The 25178-nt window shown below is 39.1% G+C and overlaps 1 long non-coding RNA gene across 1 annotated transcript, besides 3 other annotated features; it reads left to right on the top strand.

The window, feature by feature from the left end:
• Positions 1 to 2092: 2092 nt before the first annotated feature.
• Positions 2093 to 11256, top strand: LOC101929963 (uncharacterized). Its single transcript, XR_923598.3, has 4 exons — positions 2093 to 2156; positions 2958 to 3196; positions 7277 to 7336; positions 11074 to 11256. It is a non-coding gene; the product is annotated as an uncharacterized LOC101929963 (long non-coding RNA).
• Positions 16862 to 17361: an enhancer, noted in NCBI's record as "NANOG-H3K4me1 hESC enhancer chr2:177612023-177612522 (GRCh37/hg19 assembly coordinates)". NCBI's record gives its function as "activates a minimal SCP1, AML or CMV promoter by ChIP-STARR-seq in primed H9 embryonic stem cells {active_cell/tissue: H9 hESC(primed)}" and the evidence as "EXISTENCE:reporter gene assay evidence [ECO:0000049][PMID:30033119]".
• Positions 17362 to 17863: an enhancer, noted in NCBI's record as "NANOG-H3K4me1 hESC enhancer chr2:177611521-177612022 (GRCh37/hg19 assembly coordinates)". NCBI's record gives its function as "activates a minimal SCP1, AML or CMV promoter by ChIP-STARR-seq in naive and primed H9 embryonic stem cells {active_cell/tissue: H9 hESC(naive and primed)}" and the evidence as "EXISTENCE:reporter gene assay evidence [ECO:0000049][PMID:30033119]".
• Positions 18835 to 18944: an enhancer, noted in NCBI's record as "active region_16792". NCBI's record gives its function as "activates an Ori minimal core promoter by ATAC-STARR-seq in GM12878 lymphoblastoid cells {active_cell/tissue: GM12878}" and the evidence as "EXISTENCE:reporter gene assay evidence [ECO:0000049][PMID:35858748]".

Genomic DNA, 25178 nt, shown 5'->3' with positions numbered 1-25178 from the left:
CATTACGAGGTTCGTCACTCATTTCAAACCCAACCTTATCTCTGTCCCTCATCAACATGGCTTTTGTTTTGCTGTTGTTTTCCTTAAACTGTTGAATCTTTTCTTTTCAAGGGAATTTGCAAGATCTTGAAAAGACGAGTTTGGAAATAATATACTTGCAAAAGGAAAATAAATCTCAGAAGCACGCAGCTTTTCTGCAGCAGGTCCCCTATGAGCATGCCATCCTCAACTTGTGCACCAGTTAGATAGGAAGTCACTCTGTTTTCTCTGAGAATTCATCTTCTGCTTCTGACCAGCGCCCCCCCGACCCCCCACCAATGTGCCCACACAGCTGGGCAAGCCACTTTAACAAAGGGTCTCTGATATGCAAATAACACACACCCAGCTGCATGTTTCCAAATGAGTCATTGTTCACCTGCTGGTTCCTGCCTCACCAAATCCCTCTTGCTGCATGTGTTATGCATTCCCCCTTCTCCTATCCCTTTCTTCCCTGTGCAACAGCTAAGGTCTGTAGGCCCCCTCGGAATGGCAATGAAAAGACTGCAATGAGAGTGGGCCAGGCCAGTGATGGGACGAGGTGAGTGATGAGTTGGCTTGCGAGTCACTGCTGCCTCTTGACATGTGTGATCTCGGCATTGCCCAGGGAGATTACTAGTCTTTGGCCTGAGACACAGAAAGCCTTCCAGTGTACAATCTGCTACCTAGCGTCAATGACTTGCATAAATAAATAAACCAATCAGGAGATGCTGGCTTTACTATTGGCACCTTGGCCTTCATTATGGCAATGGTAACAATTACAGATGAAAAAATAAGGTAGAAAAAGGCTGGATCTTGACCCGTTTGCCACAGATTCTTTACATGTTTTGCATTTGTGGCAATGACAAATGTAGCTAAATGCACCTGGTTGTAGCTGTCTGCTGTGATCTAAAGCCTTTTTGAATGAAAAGAAAAACTCCTTCTGTTATTTATTGTTGGAAGCAGAGTTTACTTTGCTGTCTTTCACCTCGGCAGAAATCAGAAATGCCAGTTTAACAGCAAGCTGATGAGCTCTGGGGAACAGAGCAAAGAGTCGTTTGCTGGAGTCTTGTATATCAGTAGAAGACCAGTGACCAAATAGATTCATATTTATTTTCCTGGAGTTTTCCCCTCTTCTTTGACTCTCAGGCAATCTTGTTCTATAAAAATGTTAATGCTGGTCTGAATATAATGGGTGATTTTTTCCCCCACAACTCTGTCAAACAGATCTTCCCAATAATTAAATGTGCATCCTTGAGCTCTAAGAGCAGGCTTGTTGAACAAAGCAACCGCAAATCCAACTAATCTTTGAAGAATGAGAGTGTCAAAGTATAAGCAGATGTTTTAATTTGCACAATGCTGGGATTTTTTGGATGCCAAATGTTCCTAAAATAGTTATTGTATCTAGACAGCAGGAGAAAGATATACTCAGAAATGACCTACACGCCTCTCAGTTACAGACATTGTTTCCTTCAGCAGAAGTGATATTGAATGTGTTGTTAAGAAAGCTGTATGTTAATCAGCATTTAATGAGAAGGTATCACAATTCTATGATTATAATATATGAGAAAAAGAAAACAAGAGGGCACTACAGAATTTTAAAGTAAAGTACACACACACACACGCACACACACACACAGTCTTTGTAAAGTCCATAGCTAAAACAAAGATGGGACACAATAAAAGGGCTCATGTTCCCTTGTGTGGGCATCAAATGTTTCTAAAAACGACTTAAGAGATGCCTGCTATTAAAGCAAAACAGGAGGATATATACTTTAGCCATGAAATTAGCGCATAATGTTATCTAGCCAGTTGAACTTGCATTGCTTTAGGGAAATATTAGCACACGTTTTCCACAAGTGGATGTAGGCAGGAAAGATTTATATTAGACATCAGGAATAATGTCCTGACTTTCAGAAGAGTTGTGAGAAGCCAAATAGTTTACCAAAGAAGGCTGTGGAATTTACCTCCTGGAAATTTTTAGCAGCAGACATGAGACCCATATGTTTGAGACTATTTCGGAGTCTTTGAAATGAATAGAATGGTCTTATTAAGAGTTTCCTAGTCCTTTTCTTTTGTAGCTTGCCTGAGAAGAGGTTAGACATTCAGTCCACAAAGCCAGGCTTCTCTCCGACCTTCCCGTAAGTCCACCTTCTCTCAAGTCTTAGCCATATCCTACCAGAACCTCTTGATCTAAAGGGTTAAACTAAGGGACTCTCGTGCACTGCTGCTAGTGGGTTGAGGGGAGAGGGAGTTTAAATTGGTACAATCTCTAGGGTGGACAATTTCTCAGAATCTACCAAAATTAAAAGTGTGCTTGTCCTGTGACCCTACAATTACATTTCCAGGACTGTATCTCTTAGATCTATTGATACGTTTCCAAATGACTTATGGATTCATGATTTATTGCAGCAATGTTTTTAATAGCAAATAATTGGAAACAACCTTAATATCCATCAAAGGAAGACTGGTTAAAAAATTTATAGCATATCTGTGTTAAAGAGGTAGCTCTACGTGGCCTTGTAAAAAAGGATTTCTAAGATACACATTTTTAAAATGAGGTGCAATATATCACATATACTACGCTATTGTTTGTATGTTTTCAAAAAGGAGTAGAAGAGAGACATACTTTCCACAGCATAAAAAATAATTTTAGAACTATTATACCTTTGGCATTAGTACTGTGTATAATATCTATTAACATCAAATAAATGAATATTAAATAAATGATTAAGAGAAAATAAGGGAATTCTTTTCCAAACCAAAATCTCCCATATAAGGTAGGGAATTCATTCTGTCTTATCTCTGGTTCCCTCCTTGATTCTTATATTAAAAAAAGCCACTAGGATCAGATGGCTATAGCAGGGTGCAGGGTGGGAGTAGAGTGGGGGACACGGGGACATGCCTGCTTGACTTATGTTTTTCTTGTTCCCCTCCTGCAGCTATACATTTCCGAAGACAGAGAAGAGGAAAAAGGAGGTAGAGTCTGGTATGAGGGCACCAGGGAACATTTCCTTACTTCACAATTTGGTGAACTGAGTAGAACTGCCTGACATCACACAGAGGGTAAACTTCTGCCTAGGGCCATGGAAAAAGGCAAGAAGGTCCCGTGACCAAGAAATGACCAGCTCCACAGAGGAAATGCAGGGCCACTCTCCGACTGGACCCCACTGTGCACAAGGTGAGAATTCAGCCTGTTTATCAGGGTTTCCCTTATTAAAGTATATGTCAAAAAGGCCTGGTAGAAATGTAACTCTGTGATGTTAATTTTGGAAAGTCTCATCTAGAACTTTCTGGGAAGTATTTGAAAGCACAGTTGTGGAATCATTTGAAGACTCAAACATATAAATTAAACACTCTTCTTGGATACAGCAGTTAGAATATGGAACAGATAGGGTCTACATTGGAGAAATGAGAGATGTGGCAAGTGCTTAGCCTCTCTGAGACTCAGTCTCAATGTCTCCATCAGGGACAGCTAGCTAGCTCACGGAATTATTGTGAGGGTTCACTGTTATAATTTATTCCAAGGTCCACTGCAGCACCGAGGACATAGGTGGCACTCAAGAAGCAGTGGCCAGTAGTATTCTCTGCTAAAATATTTGCCACCTCAGCCACTTTGATTCTGCTCCAGAGGGCTTTTTCGCTCATCCCATTGGCGACACAAGGCAGGTTAACTAAAGATACTCTCACCTAATCTAAAAATTCAAGACATCAGTCCACAAAATACCAGAATCACCATGGAGGCAGCTGTTTAGCACTTTGGATAGTCTATTTCTCCCCCTAAAAACAGCCTACTTAAAACAGGGGAGAGTTAAGGTTCCAGGATCTTACTCCTGAGATTTTTTATTTAAAGAACACCCCATCTTTACTCGCAGCTGAGAGGCTAAGATTAAAAATTAGCCACTGTATAGTAGCTGAGCAGTGACAATTTTTCATAAAGGTTTTTAGTACACATTTGGGATTATAATTTCAATATTATGCAAATGCATTTTATGGATCTATAATACAGAATGTGTACTGGCGTTAATGTGCATTAGCAGGCGAGAAGAAAAGGCTCCAAATGAGCCATTTTGGTGTCTGCTTTCAACATGTATTATGAATAATAAGTAAAATGTTCTGGTTTAGAACAAATAATATAAAATCTGAATTCTTCTTGATGTACATCAGTGACAAAGCCCTACGCAACTCCCATGGAATTATTCCATTGGACACAATTTAAAACTGGCTCTTAAACAATATATTCCTGTTTCTGGCTTCTCTTCTTGAATGAGATGTGAAAGTAAAATAAATATATTTAATATGAATACGGGATAGTTCCCCCCATTGCTCAAAATCAGGCATGAACTAGATGAAGGCATTGGGAAGGCTGAAACACCATAGTGGTCAAGAGAGTGGCCCAGGATACTTGTAATTTGAGAGGCTCTGAGTATTGAAAAGTGAAGAAGCATCTAAATAGGGTTATATAACTTGCATATTTTCAATGAATAAAATTAACAAATATAATGCCTTTAACACAAAATATTTAATACAAGATGACTGTATTATTCTGAAGATATTTAAATGATGTGTAAGTAATATTTCTTAATGTAATGTGCTGCAAGCTTTGTTCCAAAATGGGAACTTGAGTTGAAATTTGTCTGATGTCTATTTTCTTTCAGCCTTGTCAGAGTGTTTCTGTGACTGCAGATTAGAATAAAATTCTCACAAACTAATTTGAGGCTTTTCGTAAAGGCAGAGGACTGAGCCAAACAACTAGCTTCTCATGATAGAGCCCCAAAATGTTTCCTTTTTAATTAATATTTCCATGTTGCAATTTTGCATGTACAGAAGGTGGTAGCTGGTTATTTTAGTAGTAATTCAAACTTTCTATTTGCATTGATTTAGTTAAGACTTTCAGATCTATTGACCCTGTTTCTTGAATGCATGTTTCACACCTGCCCCATTCTTGGGCAGCCTGCAGGAATACAAGATCACACTGTCCAATGAGTATGGACTAAGCATTCAGCTGAGTAACAATAATACAATCATCTTGTCTCTCAAACAGGTGCCCTTAACTTAATGTTTTTTAAAATGCCACCACGTCCATGACATCTTCAAAATGATACTAAAAATATCCATGCGATGAGTTCTGTGTGTGTTAAGTGTTTTATATGCATTATCTCAATTGACTTCCAAAGCAACCTCACAAGGTCAGTTTTACAATCCCCATGAAATGGTTGAAGAATTTGGAGTCTAAAAAGACTAAGTAATTTGTACAAAATCACAATTATACAGGTCTAATTTTGCAACCCAAACTCTTGACCAGTATATAACCCTGAATCCAGTATTAATGTAGTAGATAATTGTCTTGGCTTAATTTATCATATAAGTTATAGAAATGGTGTTTTGTCCTTACTCTGACATGGGGACTATAATTGACACTAAAATCTGAATCAATTTCAACCAGTCATTGCTTCACTTCACTACTTGTCTACATTGCTGCAGTTGGTTGCTGCTTTCCATTTCCCCCGATGCTTTTCCATTCGAGATGGAGGTCTGTGGAAGGAAAGATGGATACAGCAAGAGGGTCTATCCAAGAACCCAATAAATATGTACTGCATAAATAAATCAGATGTTTTAAATTTGGCAATTTAAATTCAGCAAAAAGTCTTTGACAACCTGTGGAGTGTAAGCTATGGTTTCTATCCTTGCAACCTTAAAATTTCAAAAAGCCCCAAATTCAAGCTTATCAGTAGCAAGGAAGCCCTTCCAAATATTAACTTACAATCAATATTGGAAAAAACTGAGTAGTATATTGTGTCCTATTTTGAAAACAAGCTATTTGCCATGTGTAGATAAGATTCCTACACTAAAGATATCTTTTTAATAGTTGAAATATGAGATGCCGAGTAATAAAACTTGAAGTACAGTGGAGCAGCTCTGAGAGAACAAGTGGCACATTGCCTTGAAATAATACTCTCAACGCCATTTGCTGAGTCTTCTATGCTCTTGGCCCTTTGCACAATCTCACTTAATCTTCACTGCACCCTGTAAGGTAAATATTATTATCTTCATTTTACAGATGAGGAAATTGAAGCTTACATAAATTGTCTGAGGTCACACAGTTAATAAGTGGTTGAATGTGGATTTAATTCGAGGTCTGCTTTATTTCAAAGTGATTCAGTGAGTGAGACAGAGAGAAACAAAGAGAAGACAGTGGTTTTTAAAGAAAGAATGAATCTCAATTTTCTGAAACCCTATAGCAATTCCTGCCTTTCTTGTGGCTCTTACCATATTCTGCTGTTATTTCTGGATTTCTTATATAACCTTTACTGAATTATAAGCTATTCTATTTGAGAGAAGAGACCACACACAAACCATTTCTGTATTCCCCCAGGACCTTGTTCAGTGCCTGGAACAAAGTAGGTATTCAAGATACCTTTCACTTATTCCTCATATATTTGCTGGGTGTGGTTAAGCCCAGTAAAGAAGACAAGTCATGCCTTCCAGGAGCTTCTAGCTCAGGGGAGAAAGTGATTGAAGACCCAGTGTTCTAAACTGGGTGTGGCACCACAGTGATGGGAAGTAGGGGAAGCCAAGGGGAAGCTGACTGACTGGTGGGCTCAACCAAGGTTTCCCGAGGAAGAGGTCATCCAAAACCATTCTTGAAGCTTCAGTAAGAGCCAAGCAAAGAGGGTGGGGAAAGCCTCACAAAGCGAGAAGGATCAGGAATGCACAAAGGCCCTGAAATTAGAGATAAGCACAAAGCCTGTTTCCAAGGATTACAAATCACCTGGAGATTACTGGAGGACAAGAGAAAGGGGAGAAACAGCAAGACAGAAGGTGGCAAGGTATCCGCTGTGAAGTCTAGAAGGACTGTGTACACCATGGTAAAGTATTTCTCTATCCTGATCTTTCTGGGGAGGGTTTATGCAGAGGAGAGGCAAGACAAGGCATATATTTGAGAAAGAGGATCATTAGCTGAATTGTGGAGAACAGACTCGAAGAGGATGCTACTGGTTGCAGGGAACAGGAAAGAAAACCAAGGAAGCAATCACTAAAGCCAGTGGGAGGGAGGGTCTTGCCATTAGAGAAGAGAAGGCCATTTTGTATACACAGCTGACGCTTGAACAACACAGGTTTGAACTGTGAGAGTCCACTTATATTTGGAATTTTTTCAATAAAAGTTACATGGAGTGTGCCTGCCTCTCCTGCCTCCTCTTCCACCCCCGCCACCCTTGAGACAGCAAAACCAACCATTCCTCTTCCTCCTCTTCCTCAGCCTGCTCAATGTGAAGATGACGAGGATGAAAACCTTTATGATGATCTACTCCTATTTATGGTAAATATATTTTCTCTTCCTTATGATTTTCTTAATAACATTTTCTTTTTTCTAGCTTATTTTATTGCACAAATACAGTGTATAATACGTGTAATATACAAAATATGTGTTTATGTATTCCACAAGGCTCCCAGTCAACAGTAGACTATCAGCAGTGAAGTTTTCGGGAGTCAAGTTACATGAGAATTTTTTTTTTTTTTTTTGAGATGGAGTCTCGCTCTGTTGCCCAGGCTGGAGTGCAGTGGCGCGATCTCTGCTTACTACAACCTCTACCTCCCGGGTTCAAGTGATTCTCCTGCCTCAGCCTCCCAAGTAGCTGGGATTACAGGTGTGCACCACCACGTTCAGCTAATTTTTGTATTTTTAGTAGAGATGGGTTTCACTATGTTGGCCAGGCTGGTCTCGAACTCCTGACCTCAAGCAATCCCCCCACCTCGGCCTCCCAAAGTGCTGGGATTATAGATGTGAGCCACTGTGCCCAGCCACACGACAATTTTTGACTGCATGGGGGTCAGCACCCCTAACCCTCGCACTGTTCAAGGGTTAACTGAAATTTGGACTGGCACATGAATATTTTATGTGTGAGATATTTTTGGAGTAACTCCAAATTAGTTTTCTCTCATTATTAATTTGTGGGAGCCCCATGGACTAAAACATGAAAGGAGTCTTAATTTTGGATGTCCTTGTGTTTAGACATCTAGTGTAGCTCTCAGACTTAATTAGAGCTGTGTTGAGCACTTTTTATCTTAACAATCTCTCTGTGAGTAGAGGTAAAAAATAATAGGAATCGATATAAACAGCCTAAGAGGAATACCTCAGAAAGATAGAAATATTATTTTTGCTGATGCACATTTTTTATTTTGAAAAATCATGAAGATCTCCATTAGGAAATCATTCTTCCTTGGCATTGTGTTGCATGCTCAACAAATAGAAGGTAAATATGCTAAAATTGGTGTCTTTTTCATGAAAACCACATAACTGTAAAGCTCTTTGTTTTCACCCAACTGCTGAAAACATTTGTGTAGGCAATTTCAGTAAACATTTGGAGAATTGGAAGTGCTCTTTCCTACACATATGGTTCTTTATGAAGAGGTAATTTTTATCTATGTTCTACTCAATTGAATATTTATAAGTCTGTTTGGCCTCAAAGGTACCTGATCTCCCCCCAAAATACAATTGCCCTGTAAAGCTAAAGTGAGATTTATTCACTTACCCTTTAAGAACTTTGCAAGTTATTTTCATTTTTCTCCCTATGAATTTGTTCCCAGTATAATCCTAAATTTGTCTAATTTGCTGTGTTATTGCAATTAGTCAATTCTCCCTCAGTTACACAAATAATAGCCTTATAAGTAAGTTTGAGGCTGTAAATCATTCATCCATTAAAAATGCCATTTCCTTGTACTGCAAATTCGATTCATTTAGAAGAGAAAAACCATGGCGTGGAACAGAATTATGCAATGTCATGGACACATTAACATTTGGATCAAAATTTTACATTGTGTCAGCCAGTAAACAGTATAAATGGTTCAGATTTGCAATAAATAATTGTCTATTAATACTCTGGCATGCTGTAGCAAATTATAGTCTCACTTCAGTAAGCACAGCTGTAGATAGGCACCAGGGCCGAAGGAAGCAAGTGCCACAATTGGTTTGAGAGGAAAAGAGCCCGTTATGCAGGGATGCAGGGCAGGGGCAGCTCTCTTCAGCAACTGGAGGCATAGCTGTGGATTAAATGCTTGTGTTTATAAACACAGGAGGAAGACCCAGTGGGCTTTTACTGTAGCTGGAACATTAGACACCAAAACGCAGCCCTTTGCTAGAAGATGCGTCTTTGTGTTTGCTGAATGTGAGAGGGATGGTGGCACATTCTATATTAACCAGAAAAATGTTCCTGATGATAGGACCAACTTTGATGTCCCTCGGATCTAGGAGCCAGGCTTATGGCTGGAGCAGCAACAATATTAGGTGTTGATTATGGAGTCACTCAGGGACCACCAGAAGCTCAGACTCTCCCCAGAGGCTACCTTATGTGTGGGGGCAATTTAGGCCCTTCTTCCCTCTCTCCCTGTCATGATCTTCTTCACTAACCAATTGAGGAACCTATAATTAATATCATTTTTCACTGTTTGGCTTAATGCTTTTAAGCCCTGTTAAAATGCAAACAAGATATCTGGAAAAGTTGATAAGGAGATATGTGAACATTCATTGACATCTCGGCATGCAGCAGGTTCTCAACTTAGTCAAAATTACGGCACTGAGTAGGATGAACTGGAACATCAGGGCAGGCAGCACAAATGATGGGAAAATGAAGTGTTGCTGAGAGAACATCCTGATGGCCAGGATCACTATGTACGAAATGCAGGGGTATACAGAGAGGATTGGGAATGATTCTCAATGGTGACTAACATTTGTAGAATTCACCTGTGAGGGCAGGCAGTACTATCATTATCCCCACTTCCCAGATGAGAAAACTGAGGCCCAGAGATGTTAAGTAAAGTAACTTGCTCATCAAGTTTACCCAGCCAGTGTGACAATTTATACTACGGAATTGGGTGGGTCTAAAAGCTAATTTACCTTAGTTCAGAATTTAGCCTGAGGCTGTCTAGGAATAACAGATCTTGCTTTGCTTAAAGCCATGATGTTAGATTAATTGATATTGTGACCCTTGGCAAATATCAAAGTTTCGTGGAATTCTCTATAATAAAGACTCTAGACTTTAGAAAAGTCAATTCAAAACACTAAAGTTATTCCTTTATTCCTACTGTTATCCTATTCTGTTCCTTAGCTCACAAAGGAAAAAATAATCCCCTATTGACCTCCAAATTTAGCATTCATTTGATTTCATTTATACATTTAAAATAGAGAAGAATTAAAGCAACCTTATAAATTATATTTTAATAAGAATATTGATATCTGAAAAGCTAGCAACCCAGAGAAATGTTTTTCTTGCTTGACTTAGATAATATTTTCATCAACATAAGAAAAACAAATTGAGCCCCTATGAAGTATAGGGTGTGCCCTGGATTTTAGATGGTTGCCTAATTTTCCTTTTCATGTCTGTTAAAAGCCAAGTTTAATTTGGAGCTATTTCTCAAGAAGGGTGAGCAGCTGTGATTGATTTATTTGAATACTTTACAACATTTAAAAATAGTTTTTCTAATTCACCAGAGAATTATTAAATCCTTGGGGCTGTATGCTCTCTTTTGTAGTCTTAGGTTCTCTCTCATGCTTGGACAATTCTAGTGTCTTTGCCAACAATAGCTACTTTTTCTTGCACACCACTAAACTAATCATTGCAAAAGGTCATTGTTGTGACATCATTCTCCTGTCCCAAACTGTCAGTGGCTCTTCACTTCCTCCCAAGTAAACTCTGTGTCAGAGCCTCCACCATCTGGGTGCTGTTTACTATTCAATACATATTTCCCACAGCTTTCTGGGCAAGCCCACTGTGCCTGGCACTGTCTCTGATCTCCATGGTGCTGCACGTCTGGCCACCACCCTTTCCTCCCCTCCCTTAGTTATTTGGCCTCCAATGCCTTTACCATCTCTCCAGCCTCCTCCCACGCACTCCCCACATCTTTGAAATCTTTTTCTTTTCTTTTTTAATTCCAGCTCTTTTCCTCTCTAAAACTCAAGATTTGACATTTATTCTAGAATCATAAAAGGCTAGAACTCACGGGGACAGGAGTGGAGCTATCTGTCATTTTTAAATATAGCTTCTCTCAATCTTTATTTAGTGGACTTGCTCTGGATTAGGGATGAGAAGACCTGACTCTACTGTTTTCTTGATAAGTGACCTTGAACCAGACACATGTGCTCAAGTTCCATATCTGTAAAATGAAGATACCTGGCCTTCCTACTTCACAAGGTTCTTTTGAAGATCAAATGTAATACTGCATAATAAAGTGACTCATAAATTCTTTTTTTTTTTTTTTTTGAGATGAATTCTCACTCTGTTGCCCAGGCTGTCATGACCTGGTGCAATTTCAACTCACTGCAACCTCCGCCTCCAGGGTTCAAGAGATTCTCCTACCTCAGCCCCACCGAGTAGCTGGGATTACAGGCATGCACCACCACTCCCGGCTTTTTTATTTTATTTTTATTTTTTGTATTTTTTGTATTTTTAGTAGAGATGGGGTTTTGCCATTTTGGTGAGGTTGGTCCTGAACTCCTGACCTCAAGTGACCTGCCCGTCTTGCCTCCCAAAGTGCTGGGATTACAGGAGTGAGCCTCTGCACCTGGCCTGACCCATAAATTCTAAAGTACTAAGTGATGTCCTCATATATAGCACAGTCCCTCCAGCCCCTGCAATTCAAAGATACATCTCACTGTACTTAGGAGAGTTAGAGTAGAGGCATGACCTAACTTGTTAGCTGTTTATCTCCTATAGAAAGTGGTCAACAGATCTTTGTTGGTAAAATGAATGAATATTCATTTCTTATCTTTCAATGAGAATGTGATAACTTTGGTTATTGATGTATACTTCCGTGCAAATTTGCTCATGCAATTTCAACCACATCCCCCAGAACAACTTTCTACCATGCTAATTGCTCCGAACATTTAAATACCAGCATAGGAATGGAAGCTACTGACTGTTAACATTTCTCACATTTAGTTGCTGAATGCCTCTCACATTTACTTACTGAATGTGTGCTTTAGACCATCTTAAAAATATAATAGTATGTCTGATAAAGAGGCCCATCAGTCCTCAAAATGTCTTCATCTTTTAGTGTTGAAACAATAATGATGATTTGCTTCATTTGTGCTCTACACACCAATGAGATGAGCTAACTGCATATCTACTATGAAATAATGTCTATTATTACATGGATAACTACCCATTAACTCCATTGGAAACACTGGTAATTACACAGTATGTTACGTTAATGCACCTGTGTTAGCTTCTGATTGCCATATTATTAATTCAAGTGACCTCTTGAATTAATTCAAGTTTCCCATCATCATTTTCTTATTCTGGAACTCTCTAACACTTTAGAGACTGTTGGCTAAACAATAAAAGTATACAGTGAAAACTATTTTCAAAAAAAAGAGGATCTGATGTGTGATCCCATTGATGTTTGTTGTTGTTTTTCACTTCTTTGCTTGACATATATAAACAACTTTAGAGCTATATTCTGTTACCTTCTGTGCAAAATTAGAACAATTTTCACTTTGTGAAGAGTTGCAGAAAGATTTGACCTTTAAAAACTCTGAAACACGTCTGGTTCACAAACAGAATCACATCTTAAAAGCCCTAAGTTTGCTCTAAAAGTGTCAATCAAGTTTTCAGCACACTAACACACGTAATAATGAAAGGCTTGTATTTGCTCCTAAAACCCAAGTTGCCTCCCAGTCACTCTGCATCTGGTTACACCAAACTTAACTTTTCTACAGTCCATCTAGTCCTGACCTTCCCCTCTTCTTACGAGCCCCCATTTAACCAAAGCAACTCCAGCCCAGGAGATGAAAACCCCATCAGCATTTTCATAGTTAATGACAGGGCTACAAAACAGAAAATAACAGCGGGAATCTGAAGCCAGTGCTTTTATTGGACTAACTAACGATATAAATAAAATGGTCCCTGACTGAGCTTTGGAGAATCACTGTCTCTTTATCAGGCCATAGAAAACAGATCCAGGAGGGCAATAAATACAGCACATAACAGAGTGGAATTAAATGATTAGGCCTGAATTAACACCCTGTTTCTGAGCCTCACTTAGTGTTCCATGGCCCCAATGAAACACTGCAATTCACAAATGCTCAAGGCCCATTTAATTTTTATTTCAAGCTAGTTCAGAAGAAGGGATTACCTATAACTCCCCCCTATTCCATTGTGTAACTCTCGAAGTAACAACACTGATCCTGTCTAGATAGCTGTTAGGAAAATAGGCTGTGCTATAGGAAACACAGAGTCTATTCAGAATCCTGCCTCTACAAAAATCACATTAATTCAAAGGGACCAAATCCCTCTCTGTGAAAGTGACAAGGCTGTCCTTGATGGGAAAATAATGAATTATTAGTTAAATAAACTTGATTATTTTCCATGACATTAACAACAAACCTATGCAACTGTCAGCCCAAGATTTTTACTTTTTGAACTGTGGCTTTAGCATGCCAAAGATCCTAATCAAGTCTTAACTGCAAAATGGAATTGAATCTCACCTTGGAGGGTAATCTATGGAGGCCCATCCCCCATTACACCATATGTCACAGGATAAGGTGGATGAGTTTCACTTAAACCCTGTTGGCGGGGAGTTAATATTGTTCTATACGTCTTCATTTATACAATGGCTTTAGAGCAAGAAATCCAAGGATGGCATAAGAGGAAGGCTTCACTGTAGCAGTGAAGTACTTAGAAATTTTAGACGAAATATGCAGCAGATGAAACTGAGTCATTAAAACCACTTGTATACCTGTGACTTGAAGTGATGTATGAGATGGAGATATATTTAGAAGGCAAGGTCCTCAAGAGGTAAGAGAGCTTGCAGTTTTGAGCACTTAGTAGATGCTGTGTGCTGGTTTTTATTTTTCCTCATTTAATCCTCACACTGTCCTATAAAGTTGACATAATTATTCCTGTTTACAAGTAAGGAAACTGACCCTCAAAGAGGAGTGTAATAATTGCCCAAGTTCACACAGGAAGTGGTAAGGCTGAGATTCAAATCCAGATCTAGCTGATTCCAAAGCCAGCCCTTTCCGTCAATACTATGACTGTCACCTGCTTAGAACTCCTGACTGCTGCCTGGAGCTTTTACTTGGGATCTTCTAGAATAACCAAAGAAACAACACACAGAAGAGGATGAGACTAATGAAGTATAGTCTCAAACAGTAGGAAAAAACCCCAAGGGCTTTGGCACTGGATGAGATTAACTCTTATAAAGCCCCAGGAGATCCAGACATTCAGTGAATTAAGGAGCCCTCCTCTGAAATTAAATGAACCTGCCTGTCCAAAACTGCTTCCGAGTGTCAGCCATGGCGTACATGGGGTCCAGACTCTATCATCACCCTGAAAGGGCACCTTGAGCCTTGACTGAAGTAGAGCAGGGAGGATTCTTCCACATTTTCAAGAGTATGAGGTTTGACCACACCCAAGTTTACCCTACCAGTCGGTTCAGCATAGCGTGTAGCTGTGTATGGGACAGAAAGGGACACCTATTAGATGGAACCTTCTGCCCCAACACTTTTGTACTACAAAATAACTGTAATTGTGGCTCAAATTTATGCTTAAGTAACTTCAGTGAAACAATAACACACACATAACTCTCAGAAAGCAATCTTACTCAAAAGGCTTGGGCACTGATACATTGTGAAGAAATTACACAATATGAATTTTTTTTAAAAAGGTAATCACTAGAAAGTTTACAGATGATAGATTCATGTTAGCAAAAGAGTGTTAAGTATCTGTTGAATTACAACTAGACACTTATGGAAAGTGTCTAATTTCACTTTCTCTGCACTATCTTTCTGTATTACCAGTACCCAATAAATTAAATGCTTTTGACATTCAATCAATATTACATGGTAATAATCACATCTTTTCATTAAAAAGGATAAATTCCTTAAAATTTTATGTTTTAAGAAAAGGTCTTTGTTTACCAAAAGGGATAGCAAAATGATTTAAGTGAGTTTAATTTGAATTATTAATTTTTTGTTCCTCGGCCAGCAGTTCTTCAGCAAAGGTCTAGATTATGGTGATTGTTCTTGGTTGTGGTTTTTTAACAGTAATGACAAGGCCCTTGATATCCTCTGGCCTTGACTTAGACACAATTGCAGGCCTCCTTTTCACCTTTAGTTTTAGTATTAAGGAAAATCTATCTCACTGTCAGGAATAAAAGCCAGACTATGTCTTTGAATTTGAGTCCTTGTCTACTTGACTCCACAGCAAGCCATAGTTTTAAGCAGCTTTTTTGGGAGATAGGACCACGTGAAGCATCTGCCATGCCCATTTGCTTATTTAAGTACTTGTTTTTGTATTTTGAAAGCATAACTTCAGTTTAAAAAATCCACATAAAAATGGGGTAAAACTTGGAACAAAATTATGGACTACCAGAGGTTTTCACTTACAACTGGCTACAGAAGCAGAGTGCAATGCAATCACAAAGAATTATTCCTTTAAAATTGTGAGGTATCACATCTGCATTTTTGAGTGAATAGCTGACTATGATAAAGAGACCAGTTTTACCTTTGTAAAGCTGTATGTCTCTTCCACGAAGTAGTTCTTTCATCTAACATGCGGATTGCAATAACTTACAGGATTGATGTGGAAATCAAAGGCCATAAAATGTGAATTGTACTTAAAAGAAAAACATAAAGTGGTGTGCAAGTATGAGGTATTACTATGAAGAATTCTCAATGAAGACTGCCCAGGATTTTAAGTTCTTATCCTTGCTGTGTCATTTTTTATTACCCATCAATGAAAACCCTGCCCCTGTGGCCTTATTTCAGGCTTTGTAAACTTGGGCCTCCTTACAACAATTAATCACTGATCCTGTAAAGTTTAAACGCACGATGCCAAACTACAAGCTGCTCCTGGAACTACATTGCCTGACCACCTTGGTATCAACTCATCTCTTGGTCTAAACTCTTTCATTTGAACTTCACAACACATTTTCTTTTTGGGCTGGGTTTTGCAGAAGTAAAATTGTCCAGGGAATTGTTTTGCTAGACCCTCTTCTTTTCTTTTTTATTTACACAGGGTCTCGCTCTGTCGCTCAGGCTGGAGTACAGTGGTAGGATCCTAGCTCATTGCAGCCTTGAACTCCTGGGCACAAGCCATCCTCCTTCCCATGCCTTTGCCCCCTATGACTCCCCATCCCACCTCAGGGACTACAGGCACACACCATCACTCCTGGCTATTTTTAAATTTTTTGTAGAGACAGTGTCTGCCTTTGTTGCCCAGGCTGGTCTCCAACTCCTGGCTTCAAGCAATCCTCCCGCCTCAGCCTCCCAAAGTGCTGAGATTACAGGGATGAACCACTGTGCCCACCCTGCTTTTCTGATTTAACATAAAGAAGCTATCCTTTCAGGCAAACATGGAAAGTCACTGCACCTCAAGGGGTTCTCAGCTCAAAGTCCTGTGACACAGTCTGTGTGTTTATTACATGGGACTTATTGTGATTTGAAACCATTCTGTTCAGCTACAGTATTTACTTGCCTGTTTATCATCCACCTCCCTCCTCTGAAATGTCTGTTCCAGGGGAGACGGAGCAGTGCTTGTCTTTTTCACCACAATCCCCTGGGCTTCGAATACTTCCTGGAACATGGTGAGAAGCCCAATAAAATAGCCGTTGAGTGACCAGATGAATTGCTACAAATAGGAAAGGTCACATTTGATATCACTAAAGCATTTACGTTTGAATACAATTTTTTCCTTCCCCAAATGAAAGCTTAACACTCTTCTAAGCTCTCACAATAAAAATTTCACCAGCCAGGTCCTTAGTAATATTAATTCCTTAGTCCTATCACCGTCGTTCTCAGGGCCCGAGGCTGGGCCAAACATGACTGAGGTTTTCAAAAAATATACTTTTAATATAATTTTAAAATACACTTACTAGGGGAAGGCTCATAAAATTCAGCTTCAGCCACAATCTGGACTATAGGCTGCCAAGTGCTGCATAAATAAATCATCAAGTCATTTTGGCATCCTGTGGGCCAGAAGGAATATCTTCCTCAGTAGATTTAAAGAGACACAGTTCTGAAAGAAATAGGAGCAAAGTGAGCCATTAAATATGTACTCTCTTATGATATTCCGGACCTTGGACAGATTCCTTGAAGTGGCAATTGTCCATTTTACCAAGGGCAGATTCTTTTTTTCCTCTTTCATTGGAATCCATTGAGGAGTTGAAAGAATTCATCCCAATATCCACAACAAATGCCCCTACCCGCTTTCAAGTGTACCAATAGTTGCAAAGAAAAAAAAATACAAAAATACAGCAGTCAGAAGATCGGGTTATGCGGGCAGCTTGTAACTGTGTATGTGCAGCATGGATTCAGGTAAGTCAGAGGCCATGCTCAGCTGAACAAAGGAAATCCCCCAAAACAGTGGCCAGTGGCCAGTGAGGTGCAGGAGACCAGAGGGGCTGCTTGGTAGAGTCTGCATTGATGGCCCAGGCTGAGTGTCCAGACTAGAGCTCACCTGTGCATCACACACACAAACACACACACACACACACACACACACACACACACACACACACACACACACTGCTTCCCTTGTCAAGTTTTCCTGGCTAATTTAAATCTAAATCAGTCTGCTCACTGGCCTTTGTAAACTTGCTAGAATGAAGAACATGGAAAAAAAAATGATAGATATAGGTCCGGTGGATGCAGAAGCCAGGCCAGAAATCTGAATCCTCCTGACCTGCAGCTCTGAGGTTTGCAGAAAGCCCTTTTTCAACATGGTTCCTGAAAAGTGACTGTGTCACAGTACGTGAGGGCTACGGGGGGTAAAAATTGTAGTATGTCTTTTCCAAACTATTGATTAAAATACAGCCCCATTGATGTACAAAGCTCAACCGATTCAGAGGAAAGCTGCGAGATATGTGATGTATGAGGTACCTGTAGGAACACACATTCAGACACAGAAGTACCAGCGGGCCCTCTTGTACCGCCTCATGCTCTCACACACAAGCACAAGCACACATGCGTGCATGCACGCACACACACCAACCCCCTTCTTGACGGCATCCCATTTTTTGCTGCCTCATCTTTCATGTAACCATGACTAAAAAATAAAAACTGTATACAGTTCCTTTTGTGTGTTGCATTTACTAAAACCCAGGCCAATTTGGCTCTTACTCCCAATAAGAAATTTCTTATCTGCTCTCTATCTGGATCTGTCTTAGTCAGTAGCTGATAGACCCTCTTTGGGTTATTAACCAGTTAGTTTCTTCCAGAAAAGAGGTCATTAGCATCTAACATTACTCAGGGGTGTCAGGAGATGCAGGTATCAGATCCTCTCATCCTGGTTTATCTTTAATTTAATCTCTAGATTTTTCAGCTCTAGCTGTCAGCTGGCTTCCACTTAATAACACATTTTTATCTGTTGTTGGTGTTTTTTTTTTTTTTTAACAACTCAATAACCGATATAATGATGACAGAACTGACGAATTCTGCATTAATGGATTTCCTTCCCGCATCTAGGCTCCGAGCTGCCAAACGCTGCTAGAAATGCTAAAATAGGTTCCAGGCAGTTACAGGTTAAGGATCATTTGCATAAATTAGCAAGTTTTGCAAATGAATTCATCTACTGAGAAGTAAGACACGGGACACTGCATTTTAATAATTGACATTCCACATGAAATGCAATGTTCTTGAGGAGGAAATTGAGCTCCAGGTTGCTATTAGAACCAGCGGACCAGCACGAGTGGAAAGAAATGCCATCCCCCATTATGTGAGCTACTGCTCCTGCATAACAACTACCCCATTCTGATGGACTCCTTTTAATAAAAGTATTAGTGTGCGCTCACCGAGAGGGAGAATAGAGAGGAATCTACTCATCAGCACTATCAAACAGGAAATGAAAATAAAGAGTTCTTCAGCATACCACCTTAATGTGCCACCAGCAACTCTGCATTCTCTTTCTAAAGTCATCTTTCATTTTCAGCTTGATTTGGCAGCCACTCCCCACCCTACCTCCACCCTCTTCCTTTTCAGTTTTCTGAAACACTCAGGAGATTATTTACATATATACAGAAAGTAAGTAAAAGTTTTAAATTGCCCAATTTGGATGTTGTCTCCCATAATGTTGGTTAAGTTACAAATAAAGATAAGTGGGCCATTTTGCTGCCTCCTCCTGGCCTAATTTGTTTAAGGACATGCCACATTGCAAATATTAGTGAGAATGCCAAATGAATGCCTTTCCTAAGGTATTAGTCAGTCAAAATCAGGGTATTCAGCATGTCGGAAGTACAAACTGCTCACACATGCAATGTAAGCTGGAAACAAGTCCATCCGTAATAGTGTTTCCTGGCATAATTTATAATTAACATAAAATGAATTAAATCACTCACTCCATAGACTTTTTTCCAAGTTCATGTAGAGTAAGTGTGTCATATCAATTAATTTTCAGTGAACTGCGGCAGCCAATAAAATTTCTCCCAGACACTGGTAATAATCCAAGATATTGATGGAAGAGGTATTATCATTAATATGAGTATAAGCCTCAAATCACGTACAGGGAACAGGCAGAAAGAGTTCCTTTCTTGGAAAGGGAATGTGATTCTTGCTAGCTGCCTGTTATTCTTTCCAATTTGTTAGGCTTTCTGTCAGTTCTCACTTTTCACACTGATAGCCTTTTAATTTTGCCTACATAACTAAATTCCTCTAGTGCAGCTGTCTGTTTTTGTGGGCTATCTAATCTGAAAAAGTTAATATACATGAACAAATTAAACAGATTCATATAGGAAGAACAGATATATTGCCCATTTAGTTGAGACATTTTCAATGGCTTTCCTACGTGTTCACAACCACAAATAATTGATAAATAAAAAATTAATGCAACCGATCTTTGGTTTGTAGAATTCAAATAGGCATCTTAACTGATATTTTGGGGGAGGTGTTTGCTTGTTTTCTACTGAGTTAACCACCTTTTTCTGGCACTATGTAAACAAAGCCCAAGTGCCTCACATTTCTTTGTTGATAATAAATGATTTTACAAAGAAACCAACTGCCATTCATTTGATCTTGTTAAGTGATACGTCGCTGATTTCTCTAGCTTTTTCTCAACAATAACACCTGTTAGAAATGCTTATGATTTTATATGCATTTTTCTTTCTAGGGAAATACTAGTTTCTGGGGAGTACTAGTTGGTCCTAGGGCTAAATGTGTTTGATAGTTTGAGAGGACAACCTTTTGTCTATGTCACTAGCTGCATGCTTATGACCATATCAAATACAGAAATCCTGCCGAGCCAGTTGATATGTGGAATGAGTTGCCGTGACTCCCTCTCCCAATAAAGGGTGTGTTCAGACTTTGCTTATTTATAGACCAATAAAGAAAAATTTCCACTGTTCTCTTCAGCCAGCTGAAGATAAATAGCTCTTCCGTTTCTAACATTTAATGTTCACAGACACAAAAACAACTGCTCTGAATATTAAGCCAACATTCGTAATTTTTTTCCTATGAAGGGGAGAAATCCTTGAATATGAAACAATGAAAGGTTCAGATATAATCTTTCCCATTTTAGAACTGTTTTATTGCAACTTGTTTTCCTCAACAAAGAGGCTCTCTGGGCTTAATTTGATTACTAGGTGAAGCATCGACTCACATGCTTCAATAATTTTCTCCATGACCTGAGAGCTTAGGGTTCCATAGAACGAAATCCAGTTCCTGAAGATGGTGCAGCCACAGCACCAAATGTCCTCCGATGAGGCTGTTACTGTTGGGTCAAGCTGCTCCTCATGAGTATGTGTGCAGCAAATGCTTTCTATTTTCATATTCTAGAGCAAGGAACAGCATAAATTATTCCTAATTCTTGATTCTGTGATGAAGTAGCCATCTGGTCTGATAGTACAGTGACAATGATATAGGAGTGAACACTCTATGCTTGGTCTACTGCACAGAAAAGGACAATAGGACATATTTTAAAATGTCAGGATCCATCAGAAGCATATTCAGGAAAGTTTACATTTATGAAAATAGATAGTATCGAAAATACATCATGATGCAAATCTAACCATGGCTGTTGGGCAGCTGAATTAAATTAAGAGTAAATCTGAATATTTCTAATTAAAATTGTGTTATTCCATTTCCTGCTATGTTTTTCATGTCTGTAAAATGAATCATTATTTTAGTACTTTTGGGAAGTTGTGTCACAAAGGAGGTTGACCCATCTGCTTCTCCTTTGACACGTGGATGTGGAGCTCTTTGGCTACAGATATTTGATGGCTTTGGCTATTTCCAGTCTGTTATTAGTGAAAATTGTGTTCACCACTACATTTGTGTTCATCACGAGATGAGGCATATGCGTCACTGGCATGGGGACAATTAAGAAATCACATGTGTGAGCATAAGGTACATTGATAGAGCAATAAAAGAGTTTTTTGATGGCCTCCATTTAATATATTTATCTATTCTTTTATTCAAAAAACATTGACTGAGTCCTTCTCATGTACTAAGCACTGAATTAGGTGTCTCATTGAAGTTAGGGGAGGAGAACAATAATATATTTTGAGAGTACTAATGTAGTGAATGAGCATGACTTCAGAAAGAAATCACTTCCAACCACATGAAGTAATTGCCTATGAACGTCCAGCGGCAGTATCTGGATCACTGCTGTAGGAAACCAGTTAAATGATTATCGGAGTGCAGGGTCTTGGTAGAGACACAGGAGAGGCTGAATGAGGCTAGGTAGAAGACCTGTGCATTGGGTGTTGTGGGTGTTAATCCACATTATAGATGCTGGTGTAGACACAAAGTCCAGAGGATCTAGGAAACAGCTATGATTCAAAGAGTCAGGACAAGGAGGTCTAACCCAATGTGTAGAACACAGCATCAGGATCTGAGTAACAATGCATGCCTTTAATTTTTGGTAGAGGTCAACTTTGAATGAAAATTGAGCCTTTATTATCTTAATTTCTAATAGATACATGACACTATTCAAAAGACCTTAGCACTCTTTCTTTATGGGTCTTATATATCGGGAAATAGTCATTTCTTTTCTTTTTGAAAGAGAAAGGAATTCACATATTTAAAGAATAATGAGTATCTGTTCTGTGTCACAAATAGCTCAAAATCACCACGCACAGAACTGTTCCATTACCTTCTCCACACCAGCCTGCTTCTGCTGTCTCTCAGTGAGTATGGCCCCATCATTGCCCAGTTTCCCAAGTCTGGAACCTGGAAGTCAGCCCAGTTCACTTACAACTTTCCCACCCCCACTACCAATGTTCACCAAGTCCTATAGAGCCTATTGCCAAATATTTTATCTCTTTCTTCAGCACTGTCATAGTTCATAAAGTCATCATCTCTAGGCTACATGGCTGCTATTGTTTCTAAAATAAAAATCTATTCTTGTGTTATAATATGAATCCCACAATGACTCTACATTAATTTTAGAAGCAAATCTATGGTCTGGCTGCTATCCATGTCCCCACATTCATCTCCCATTTACTCCCATTCCCCACCCCCAGATGTAGCAAATATTACAGCCATACTCTGTGACTTAAGCCCTGCCTTTCTCTCCCAGAATGTATGTAACCTTCCACTGGGGTCTTCTCACTTCTTTTATTCCAATCTCCATCTAAACTAACAATTGTTTCTGCTTCCTTTTTAAAAGCTGGCCTAAACAAGCATGGTGGCTCATGCCTATAATCCCAGCACTTCAGGAGGCCAAGGAAGGAGGATGCTTGAGCTCAGGAGTTTGAGACCCACCTGGGCAACATAGGGAGAACTCATCTCTGCTGAAAAAAAATTAGCCGGGCATGGTGGCATGTACCTGTAGTCCCAAGTACTTGAAGGCTAAGGCAGAGGGCAATTACTTGAGCCCAGGAGGTCGAGGCTGCAGTGAGCTCTGATTGCACCAGTGCACTCCAGCCTGGGTGACAGAGTGTGCCCTGTCTCAAAATAAATAAATGTTGGCCCCAAGTAAACTAAGCTCTTGGTACCCTCAAGAGCTCTGAGGTCTTCAGAATCTTCCTTAAGAACTGAGAAAGGGAGCAAAGTCCCAGGTTCTATGCCTGTCTATACACTTGTGTTCTTATTTTAAAGGGTCGGTATCCCCTAGGATCCTTGCTCCCCTGTTGTTAGTCTGCTTATTGTCACCCTTCTTCCCAAAACACAATAGAAGTTCTCTCAATAGTTTCACACACTCTGAGAAAAGCATCTTCATTCTATTGCCTCACTGAGCAATGCCTCTTATTCCTGAGTTCTCTTTGGATGGCAGAGGTTTGCTTCTTCCTCAGAGGCTTGCTAAAATTCTGGAGCCTGGCACCACAAGTAGTCTCTTATTCAAGGGAAACCCTATTTTCTGCCTACATGGGGTATGTCTTTGACCTTTATCACCCAAACAATAAAACGATACCTTTAGCAAAAAAAATCTTAATATCCATGTAACAAAAATCACTTATGAACAACAGAGTTATTTTATAAACAAAACTATGTTCTACTTTTAGATGTATAATTATAAGCACAGATGTTATGTATACATTCAGATATGACACTACTAAGCAAGATTTTATGTAAACACAGTGACATTGATAGAACGTACATTTTCAAGGAATAAGATGCCACAAGTTTGCACACTCCTTCAGAATGCTGAACATTCCCTGAGACAGAGGTATTTGCTATTCACTGGAAATCCATTTGCTCCCAAGTGATTAGGATTGGACAATGAGCCATGAGCAGGAGCCACTTCTGGGTTGAAGCATTCAACAGTCAGTGTGTTACTCTGACCCCCTTTTTTGCTGCCATGATATAAAGAAGGGGATATATTGACATGGTGGAGCTAGAAGGTACAAACAGCCTGGATCTCTGTGTCACAGCATGGAGGACAGTTACTCTGAAGGAATAACCAACTCACACTGGGGCTAGCATAAATAAGAAATAAATTTTTATTATGTCACTGGGACTCTGGGGTTATAGTTTTACCACATTAGAGCCCATGCTATCTGACATATACATTCCATTATCTCAAATTCCAACATACACAGATTATGAAATAGTATTTTTAAATTGATTGAAGTATTGGTATAGAGAATCATATCAATTAATGTCAGTTTTTATAATAGTACAGCTCCTTTTATCTTAATATACTAGAGACATGGAGACTATCGATAACTAGCCTGAGAGCCTTCAATGTTGGCATATTATTTAAGTTAATGTGAACTTTTATCACTGAAACTATAGACAGGTTAAGAAGTTGGACTCATACCAAAAACACAAGCATTGCAGCAAATCATTTTGAAGACTCAATAGAAGCCTTAAATACAGGTTATGTAAAATGAAACCTTTTATATCTCAATTTGATTTAAGCCCAGCAGTTCAAAGAAGATTTAGGGCACAATTTGTCTGATGGAACTGCTTGTGGCATAGATCTATTCAGTTTTGGAAAATAGATTCCACATTGAAGAGACTGTTTTCCTCTCTATGCTGGATATATAATCCACATCCAGCCACTTATCAGCAAATCCTTGATCTTTGGAGAGATGTTGAACTTGAACATCTTTCTTCTTGTTGTTGCCCACTTATATATTACTTCCCCCACATCAGCCTTAAAATATTGGACCAACAAGACAGAAATAAATATGATTTCCAGAATGTTTCTTGACTTTCTGGTTTTTTTGCCCAGTGTAAATTCATTAAAATATTTTTAAAATTTCTATAGTTGTGTGTTTGGGGGATAGGATGAAGGTGGGGTTGAAAAGGAAGAGGAATTTTATTAGAAAATCTAAGCCAATAATTGTTATTATAATTAAACATTAAGTTTAGCTATGAGCTTCCTAGTAGTCAAGTCAAGAGTTTTGTTTCACTTTTGGCAAAAATAATGCTCCCAGAAGATTACTGGCTGACTATTTAGAGCATTTTAAGAAAATTCAATAGTCTAATTTTGAGGAGCACTGCATCCTAACCAGAGGAGTCCTCCACAAAGTTTACCCTCAATGAAACTAAACCAATTTACTGGTTAAATTAAACTGTTTTATATTTTTTGAATGCTTACAAGAGGAAATTATATCTGAGAAGTAGATAAGCAAATTTAGCAGGAGAGGAACTCACCACTCACGATGATATCTAAAGATTCTCCTCCTGGAGACTTTTTCCATTTAAGTTAATCAATTGTTTGAATTAGTGTAGATGGTGGTTATCAGATCCTTTCTCAGGAAGTTCTGGGTAGGGGTGTCTACAA

Source organism: Homo sapiens, chromosome 2 (assembly GCF_000001405.40).
Source record: "Homo sapiens chromosome 2, GRCh38.p14 Primary Assembly".
Lineage (NCBI taxonomy): Eukaryota > Metazoa > Chordata > Mammalia > Primates > Hominidae > Homo > Homo sapiens.
This window is presented reverse-complemented; position numbering and strand designations above follow the sequence as displayed.